The 10,626-nt window shown below is 37.8% G+C and overlaps 1 annotated feature.

The window, feature by feature from the left end:
- Window positions 6,030–7,229: an enhancer, noted in NCBI's record as "CDK7 strongly-dependent group 2 enhancer chr4:44962593-44963792 (GRCh37/hg19 assembly coordinates)". NCBI's record gives its function as "activates an origin of replication core promoter dependent on BRD2, BRD4, P300/CBP, MED14 and CDK7 cofactors, with strong dependence on CDK7, by STARR-seq in HCT116 cells {active_cell/tissue: HCT116}" and the evidence as "EXISTENCE:reporter gene assay evidence [ECO:0000049][PMID:35650434]".

Below are 10,626 nucleotides of genomic sequence, written 5' to 3' on the forward strand. Positions count from 1 at the left end.
TAATTTGAATTTTTCTTCAGATAAAAGTCTATCTTTCAGATATGTAGATACATTTATACAGATCTCCATTGATAAAGATGCCTAGTCTCTGGAGAATAGAATACATATTCATATAGCAGGTTTAGTGTGGCTGGGGTTAATATGTTTCTCCAATAACTAGTAGTGAAAAATTGGCCTGCTTTATTTGCAGCAGATAAATATTTTTCTAAATATGAATTTTAAAATACATATGAAAATCCATTGAGAAAATTAACTGGTAGCTATTTTAGTTGTAGCTAGATTTTAAAAAGTATTTGTCTGTAGAAGGAGGTTATTTTTATTGTGTCATTTTTTGGAAGAAATTTTTAAAATTGTTTTATTTTCTAAATTTAGTTGTAGGGATAGTACAATGGATTTCCTCTTTGTTTTTGAATTTTGTTTTGTTATCTTTTGTTTACAATTTCAACTTTTATTTAGATTCAGTTGTTACATATGCAGGTTTGTTACCAGGTATATTGTGGGCTCAGTACTCAATAGTTAGTTTTTCAAGTCTTTCCCTCATCCTGCCCTACTCCCTCTAATAGTCACCAGTGTCTACTGTTGCCATCTTTATGTTCATAAGTATCCAATGTTTAGCTACCACTTATAATTAAGAACATGTGGTGTTTGGTTTTCTGATCTTGCATTATTAATTCACTTAGGATAATGGCCTCCAGCTACATTCATGTTGCTGCAAAGGACATGATTTTGATATATTTTTATGTCTGCATACTATTCCATGGTGTATGTGTACCGTATTTTCTTTATCCAATCCACCATTGATGGGCAACTAGGTTGATTCTATGTATTTGCTATTATGAACAATGCTGTGATGAATATAAGAGTGCTTGTGTTTTTTTGGTAGAACAATTTGTTTTCTTTTAGGTATATATATACCCAGTAATGGAATTGCTGGGTCGAATGCTACTTCTAAGTTCTTTGAAAAATATCCAAACTGCTTTTCACAGTGGCTGAACTAATTTACATTCTCTCCAACGCTGTACGTGGTAAACATTTTCTTTGTGACCTCCTCAGCATCTGTTGTTTTTGAGTTTTTAATATAATAAAAGCCATTCTGACTGGTGTGAGATGATAACCTCATTGTAGTCTTAATCTGTATTTCTCTAATGATTAGTGATGTTGAGCATATTTTCATATGGCTGTTGGCTGCTTGTATGTCTTCTTTTTTTTTTTTTTTTTTTTTTTTTTTTTTGAGACGGATTCTCGCTCTGTCGCCCTGGCTGGAGTGCAGTGGCGTGATCTCACTGCAAGCTCCGCCTCCCGGGTTCACGCCATTCTCCTGCCTCAGCCTCCCGAGTAGCTGGGACTACAGGTGCCTGCCACCATGCCCAGCTAATTTTTTGTATTTAGTAGAGACAGGGTTTCACCATGTTAGCCAGGATGGTCTCCATCTCCTGACCTCGTGATCCGCCCGCCTTGGCCTCCCAAAGTGCTGGGATTACGGCATGAGCCACCGCGCCCGGCCGTATGTCTTCTTTTGAGAAATATCTGTTCATGTCTTTTGCCTATATTTAATGGGGTTATTTGTTTTTTGCTTCTTCCATTCTTTAAGTTCCCTATAGATTCTGGATATTAGACCTTTGTCAGATGCATAGTTTGCAAATATCTTCTCTCATTCTGTAGGTTGTATGTTTACTTTGTTGATGGTTTCTTTTGCTGTATAGAAGCTCTTTAGTTTAATTAGGTCCCATTTGTCAATTTTTGTTTTTCTTGCGATTGCTTTTGAAGATTTAGTCATACATTCTTTCCCAAGATCTGATATCCATAATGGGGTTTCCTAGGTTTTCTTCTAGATTCTCATAATTTGAGGTCTTACATTTAAATTCTTAATCCATTTTGAGTTAATTTTTTGTGTATGGTGAAAGATAGGGGTCCAGTTTCAATCTTTTGCATATGGCCTGTCAGCTATTCCAGCACCATTTATTGAATAGAGAGTTATTTCCCCGTTGCTTCTGTTTTACAGCTTTGTCAAAGTTCATATGGTGGTAGGTCAGTGGTTTTACTTCTGGGTTCTCTATTCTTTTCCATTGATCTATGTGTCTGTTTTTGTAGCAGTACCATGCTGTTTTGGTTACTGTTGCTTTTTAGTATAATTTGAAGTAAGGTAGCATGATGCCTCTAGCTTTGTTCTTTTTGTTTATAAAAACTTTGGCTACTTGGGATCCTTTTTTTGGTTCCATATGAATTTTATAGTAGCTTTTTTATAATTGTGTGAAGAATGACTTCGGTACTTTGATAGGAATAGAGTTGAATCTATAAATTACTTTGGGCAGTGTGGACATTATAGTGATATTGATTCATCCAATCCATGAGCATGGAATAGTTTTCCATTTGTTTGTTTCATCCATGATTTCTTTCAGCAGTGTTTTGTAGTTCTCCTTGTAGAAATCTTTCAGCTCTTTGGTTAGATATATTCCCATGTGTTTACTTTTTTTGCAGCTATTGTAAATGAGATTGTGTTCTTGATTTGGCTCTCAGCTTGAACGTTATTGATGTATAGAAATGCTACTGATTTTTGTACATTGACTTTGTTTTCTGAAACTTTACTGAAGTCATATATGTCAGTTCTAGGGATCTTTTGGTAGACTCCTTAGAGTTTTCTAGGTGTAGGATCATATTATAAGCAAAGATAATTTGAATTCTTTCCTACTGGATGTTTTCTATATCTTTTCTTGCCTGATTTCCCTGGCTTCCACTTCTATATTGAATCTGAATGGGAATCATTGTCCTGTTCCAGTTCTCAAGAGGAATGATTACAGCTTTTGTTTATTCAATATTGATAGAAGTAGGAGGCAGAGAACTCTCCAAGGCAGATAGGTGAGGGTCCTCAGAGAACCTACAACCTGACAAGGTCATTGTGCACAGAGAGCTTGCCTAAACTTGCCTGCAGTGAAAAACTCCATCCTTTAACACGTGCAGTAAGGAATATAAATCAATGTGGAGTGACTCAGACTTAAGGGCCCACATGCACACTGGAAGGATAAGGTGGAGCCACCAGGAATTCACATCTTATACAAATAGGGGACCCAGCCCCATCAGCTTGGATATATAGAAGCCCTTGTATTCAACTGTGAAGAGAGGCAACTGGCAACCTGCCTTCAGGACCCCTCTTTCTGCTGACAGCTTTCCTTTTCTCTTAATAAATTCTACTCCGCTCACTCTTTGATGTCCATATGTCTATTTATTCCTCATTGTGAGACAAGAGCCCAGACCTAGCTGAGCTAAAGAGCAAAAAATCCTGCATCACTATAATGTTGGCTGTGGGTTTGTCATGGATGGCTCTTATTATTTTGAGATATCTTCTTTAATGCCTAGTTTGTTGAGGATTTTAATTATGAAGGAACATAAGATTTCGTAGAATGCTTGTCCACATCTACAGAGATAATAATATGGTTTTTGTTTTTAATTCTGTTTATGTGGTGAATCACATTTGTTGATTTTCATATGTTGAATCACCCTTGAATCCCAGAAATGAAATCTACTTCATCATGGTGTATTAACTTTCTGATGTGCTGCTGGATTTGGTTTGCTAGTATTTTGTTGAGAATTTTTGTGTCTCTGTTCATGAGGGATATTGGCATGTAGTTTTCTTTTTTCATTGTGTCTTTGCTGGATTTTAATATCAGGGTGATGCTGGATTCATAGAATCAGTTATGGAGGAGTGGACCTACCTTGATTTTTGGGACTAGTTTCAGTAGGATTGGTACCAGCTCTTGTTTGTGTCTAAAATTAATCTGTGAATCCATCTGATCCATGACTTCTTTGGTTGGTAGGTTTTTTTTATTGCTGATTCAATTTCAGAACTCAATATTGGCCTGTTCAAGGTTTCAATTTCTTTGTGTTTCAATACCTGGAGAGTATGTGTTTTCAGGAATTTTTCCATTTCCCCTAGATTTTCTAGTTTTTGTGCATAGAGGTATTCATAGCAGTCTCTGAGAGTCTTTTGTATGTCTGTGGGATCAGTTATAATGTCACCTTTGGCCTTTCTAATGGTGCTTATTTGGATCTTCTCTCTCTTTCTTTTGTTAATTTATCTAGTGGTGTATAAATCTTTATATTTTCAAAAATTAACTTTTGATTTTATTCTTTCTTTGTATGGATATTTGGATATCAATTTTGTTCAGTTATGCTCTGATTTTACTTATTTCTTTTTTTGTTTTGGTTAGTTTTAGGGTTTATTTGTTCTTATTTTGTAGCTCTTCCAGGTGAGATATTAGACCATTATCTTGATATCTAGGTAAGTGTTTAGCACTATAAACTTTTAACACTGTTTTTGCTACATCAGAGATTTTGGTGTTTTGTGTCTTCATTTTCATTTGTTTCAAATAATTTTTTATTACTGCCTTAATTTTTTTATCCAAAGGTCATTCAGAAACAAGTTGTTTAATTTCCATGTAATTTTGTGGGTTTTGAGAGATCTTCTTGGTATTGATTTCTATTTTTATTCAAATGGGGTCTTAGAGTATGGTTGGCATGATTTTGATTTTTTAAAAATTTGTCGAGACTTGCTTTATGGCCAAGCATGTGGTTGATCTTGGAGTTTGTTTCATGAGAAAATGAGAAGAATGCATGTTTTTGTGTTTGAGGGATGGAGTATTCTGAAGATGTCTCTTAGGTTCAATTGGTCAAGTGTTTAATTTACATCCAAAATTTCTGTTTGTTTTTTACCTTGATGATCTGTCTAATCCTGTTACTGAGGTGTTGACATCCACAACTTTTATTGTGTGGCTGCGTAAGTCTTTTGTAGGTCTAGAAATACTTTTTGATGATTCTGGGTGCTCCAATGTTGTATGCATAGATATCAAGGATACTTAAATCTTTTTGTTGATTTGAATCCCTTATTCCCCTTATCATTATATAATGTCCTTCTCTGACTTTTTTAAAAAAAATCTTGTTAGTTTAAAGTTTGTTTTATCTTGTATAAGACTAGCAACTCCCGCTCTGTTTCTGTGTTTCACTTGGGTGATAGATCTTCCTCCAGTCTGTCACTTTGAGCCTTTCAGTGTCATTATATGTGAGACAGGCATCTTGAGGACAGCAGACAGATGGGTCTTGTTTTTTAATCCAAATTGACACTCTGTGCCTTTTTAGTGGGGTGTTTAAATTTTTTACATTAAAGGTTAACATTGATATGTGAAGTTTTGATTGTGTTGTGTTGCTGTTAGCTGGTTATTTTATAGTTTCTATTATATGATTGTTTTATAGGGTCTGTGTGCTATGTGTGTTTTTGTGGTGGCAGGTATTGTTCTTTCATTTCTGTGTTTAGAACTCCTTTAAGGATTTCTTGTAAGGTTGGTCTAGTGGTAACAAATTTCTTTAATGCTTGCTCATCTGAAAATGATTTTATTTCTCTGTCATTTATGAGGCTTAGTTTGGCAGGATATGAGATTATTAGATGGAATTTTCTTTTATTTAAGAAAGCTGAAAATAAGCCCCTAATCTCTCTTGGTTTGTAAGGTTTCTGATAAGAAGTCCTCTATTAGCATGATGGGGTTCTTTTTGTGTGTGATCTGACATTTTTCTCTAGCTGTCCTTAAGACTTTTTTCTTTAACATTGACCTTAAACAGTCTGGTAACTATATGCCTTGGTGATGCTCTTTTTGTGTAGTATCTCACAGGTGCTCTCTGGAGTTGTGCTATCTGGATGTCTACCTTTCTTACAACATTAGGAATTTTTTTGAATTATTACCTCAAATATGTTTTTCAGTTTATTTTCTTTTTCTTTGTCTCTCAGTAATACCAATATTTGATAGGTTTGGTCACTTTATATAATCCCACATATATTGAAGACTTTTCATTTTTTAAAATTCTATTTTCTTTATTATTGTCTGACTGAGTTACTTTGAATGACCAGTGATCAAGCTCTGAAATTCTTTCTTCTGTTTGGTCCAGTCTATTGATTAAGCTTTCAATTATATTTTGAAATTTCTTAATGCAGTTTTTCAATTCCAGAAGATCCAAGTGATTTCTTTTTCAGATTTTTATCCCTTCCTTCATTTCCTGTATTGCTTTAGAAGTTTCTTTGTCTTGATTATCAACCTTGTCCTGGATCTGATTGAGTTCAGTGCAACCCATGCTTTGAATTCTTTGTAACTTCTGAGTTCCCATTTTTGTTATAGACTGTTCTAAGTGAACTAGTGTGGCCCTTTGATGGTATCACTACATTCATATTTTTCATGGTGCCAGAATTCTTGTGCTGGTTTCTTCTCATCTGGAGAAGCTGGTACTTGTAATTTTTGTAACTATTTTTGTGCAGGTAGAACTTTTTTTTTCTTTTTCTTCCTTTCCCTGTAATATTATTGTCTTTTTTCTGATTTCCCTTTTCCTTCCCCTTTCCCCATCTCCCTAGGGGATATGACCATAGAGAATGGTGGGTAGGGTCTTTTGACTTCGCTTCTGTAGCCCTATGCATTTCTGTTGGCAGGTTTTATGTTGAGCTGTGCAGTTTGATGGTGCTTATGGGTAAGAGACAGCTTTGGCCAATGCTTCTGGGTAATTACTTAATCCTTTTTTGCTGAGAGAAGCTCTTTGTTGCCTAAGGAAATGGGCTGATTCATGGAGTGCACAGTCATCTAAGTTCTCTCCTCATTCCCAGGATGTGGGGGTCAAGATGGACAGGGCTAGACCAGGCAGGTCCACCTACATGTCTCCTGTGGTAGCCACAAACACCACTGCCAAGGAAGAATCCAGTGAGTGGCCACTAAGTGCCCAGAGGTGTGGAGCTGGGAAACCTCAGCCCTGAGTTCTCTGCATGGGGATTTGAGGGCAACCAAAACTCCTAATCCAGGAGAGTGAGTTTTCCAGATATCTAGAGACCTGCGTGAGCATGGAAGGGAGAAGGTCACTCCATACCAAGATTGCTGCACAGGTGGGATGGGGTGACTCAGGCTGCTGAACCAGGCCAGCAGATGCTTTGAATGCCTGGAGATTTGCCTGGGCATGAAGCAGAGTGGGCCCCCTTGCACCCTGATCTCTTCATAGAAAGGTTGGGCCACCTCAGGCTTCCAATCCAGGAAAGAAGGTGGTTTGAATGCCTGTAGATCTGCCTGGGTGTGGAGCAAGGAAGTCCTTACTTCACCATGATCTATGCACACAAAGGGTGGGGCAGTTCAGGCTGCTGATCCAGGTGAGTGAGTGCTTTGAATGCCTGGAGATCTGCCTGAGTGTGAAGTACAGAGGGGCCCCCTGAATAGGATTTCTGCACATAAAGGGTGTGACAGTCCGGGTTGCTGGTTTAGATGAGTGGGTGCTCCGAATGCTTGGAGATCTGCCTAAATCTGGAGTGAAGAGTAAGCCACTGTGCCACAGCTACGTACAGGAAGGGTGGGGTGGGTCTGGCTGCTGAATCAGATGAGGAGGTATTCTGAATACCTGAAGACCTGCCTGGACATGGAGCAGAGAGGGTCCCACTGTACCATGATCTCAGGGGAGCTGGCTGGGGCACACAGCAATGACACTTATAGACCAGTTCTAGGTCGCCAAGCTGGCCCTGAATGCAAGTCTCATCATCCAGGAGAAAGAGCAGCTTTAATAGCTCTCCTCCTGCCCCAGGAATTCCAGCACCTACTGCTGAGGTGTTTTCAGTTTTGGCTGTTGAGACCCCTACCCTCACTCCAGTGCAGGGATTCCAATCTCTGGCCCAAGGCTAAAATGCCTGCATAGCCATGCTGCCAGTTTGCCAAAGAATGGCTGACTTTATATGTCCCTGGATTAAAATTGGCATCTTGCCCTAAATCCCTGGTGTGAGAACATGTTTGCAGCTTTCCTCCTTGTCTTTTCCTCACAGTGTCTCCAATCCTATCCCCCTGTTAGCTCCAGTGCTTATAAGAAGACCAAGTGCTTTCCCTTGGCCTGGGTTGCTCAGGTCTCCAGTGGAAAGGTAAGCTACAGAGGGAGGCTCTCTGCCACTCTCACATACTGAGGCTTCATTCACTTCTACTAGCTGGATGTCATCACGGGAGCTGTTTTCCTTCATCCTCCCTGGGATCTGGGGTCTTATTCACAATTCTGGTGGATTCCTGTTTTTCCTTCTCGAATTAAACCCCACAGAGTTTATCGTTATGTATTGCTTGCTATTTCCAAACGGTTGAGGCATGCTAAAATCCTCTAATCTACCATCTTGGAAAAAATTTAATTTCTTCTTTGGAAGATTTATTTAATACCATAAGAGAACCTGTGCTATCACTTTACTGAAAAAGAAATGACCACATTATGGGTAAGTGTTTAGAGACAGCAATGCAAGTTTCAGAAGAGTTTATAGAGATTGCTCACTGAGAAACTTAATCAAGATTACCTGGTGGCTTGCAATTAAGAATTAGGGCCAATGTAAATACTTGTCATATTTTGAGATCTAAAGCCAACACAAAATGATATTAATGTAATTATCTGTGATAGTTCTTTACTCAAGTAAATAAAGTAAATAACATTTTTTCACTTTCACTGCATTGGTTTACTTTAATTACTTTCTATTTATGGCTAATGATACTTGATATTCTATGTTTTGTATTAATTTAAGAATTCCTTTTTTAAAACTAAATTTATTCTAGAAAAATAAGTCGTTTTATTCAAAACATATATTAAAGGTTCTTGGATATGAAAAACTCCTAAAATGTATACATTATTTAAAAAGTATAGGAAAATGGGATTCTCATAATCTTTACATGTTACTTCTTTAAGCACCCTGACTGACTCTTTTTCTGGCCTTTTGCAACATTTAACAATTCTTATGGACAATAGTTATAATTTTATCCATTCAAGATTTTATTTCTTGCAAGTTGAACTAATTTCATCTTGTTTTCCATCATGAAAATATTGTGGCTTTTTCTTTTCTGTAGTTCAGTGAGTGGGAGGGAGTGGGACTCATCAGGTTTTTCTTTCCCATAGTTTGGCAAGCAGGAGGGAGTGGCAATCAGAGGCCTTTTTGCCCCTGAAGCTTGGCAAACAGGAGGGTTACACCTCTTTCATTCCCACTGCCCACAGCTTGGTGAGTTCCAGGTTCTTGTCCCATGACCAAGAGGAATAAGGTATGCAGACAGGGGAGAGAGACTAAGGCAGAGAAGAATGCTATTGAGTAACATAAGAAAAGCTCTCAGCTGCAAGAGGGGACCCTGAAAACAGGTAGCCATCTGTGAGGCTGAGTCCAGGGTTTTTATGGGCTTAGAATGGGGGAATGTATGGGTGGTCTTGGAAAAAGAACCATCTGATTGGTTAAAAGGCATCATCCAGAAGGAAACAATAGAGAAAGAGAGTAAGACAGGGATTGTGGCAGACTGTCACAGTTACTTCTTGAGACCGTCATTACAGCAGTTACTACTGTTACTGCTTGAGGCTGTCATTACAGCAGTTACTACTGTTACTGCTTGAGACCATCATTACAAGACTGAACAAAGGGATGAACATAGAAAATGATAATAAAAAACAAAAGAGACTGTTTTAAAGGAAAGGTCCAGGGGAAGAAGAGAGCTCCCTGCTTCTAGTGGGCAAAGGCAGCCCCTGAGCTTCCACTGCCCTTCATATTTATCGGGTAACAAGAGCAAGGAGGAGGAGGTAATGATTGGTCAGCTGCTTAATTGATCACAGGTTCATATTATTACTAACAGGCTTCAGATGTACCTAATCACAAGAAACATTGGACTTGGGGCATGATTGCCCTCAGCATTCTTTCTGGGTGGCAGATGTAGTTTGTCAGTTTGCCAACATTCTGTGTTTATGAGAACAGTTTGCTGTTTAGTCATATAGCCTCCAGTGGTATACTGAGTTGATCACGACCCTCAGTCTTTCGGCCTCCAACAAGGGATAGATGTTTTCACTCTGGTCTTGAACTCTATCTGGAACTAGCAGCTCGGTTTTCAGGTTTTAAACTGTCTTTGGCTCGAAGGTCAGGTTTCACTGGGTCTGTCCCTGTCTACCTGGGAATTTGTCTGTCTCCTGTTGCTATCAGTAGCTACTACTTCATATTACATACACTGAACCATGTTACCTATTACTGGATTGTGACAAAATGTAAAAAGTCATTTCTACCAACTGTTTGGGTTAGTAAAACGTATCTATAAGAGAGGCTGAGTACTATTAATTACCCTTTACCAAGTTGCAGAATACCAGGAAGATAATCTTAAGATTACCATGCAATATGTATTTTAGCATGCAATATATATCTTAAATTTTCTCAGCAATTGCCTAAAAATTATGAAGAGATAATGATGAAACACATATCATTCAAATATGCTTCCCTTGACCTGAAATTCTGATTTAAAATCATTTGTAAAAAGCATATTATTTTATGTGAATTAAAGTCAAGTGGTAATAGCAGGCCTAGTAACTAAATCAGTTGTCTGTATTAGTTTCCCTAAGAGAAAATGATGATAGTCCAGGGACAGAAAGTCACAGAAGACAAGAGTGAGTATTGACAGAAAATGTAGTAAGCCTGTGAGAGAAAAACATACTTTGCCTTAACAGATGGTTTAAAAATGGTCGAATTTTACTTAAAAAAGAATGTACACACATCTTTCAGAAAGAAAGAAAGGCTTCAGTAGATCAATTTTAAGATGTCAGTTTGTCTCAATACACAAAAAGTTAATAATTAAAGAT

The sequence above is a fragment of the Homo sapiens genome, chromosome 4, assembly GCF_000001405.40.
Source record: "Homo sapiens chromosome 4, GRCh38.p14 Primary Assembly".
Taxonomy (NCBI): domain Eukaryota; kingdom Metazoa; phylum Chordata; class Mammalia; order Primates; family Hominidae; genus Homo; species Homo sapiens.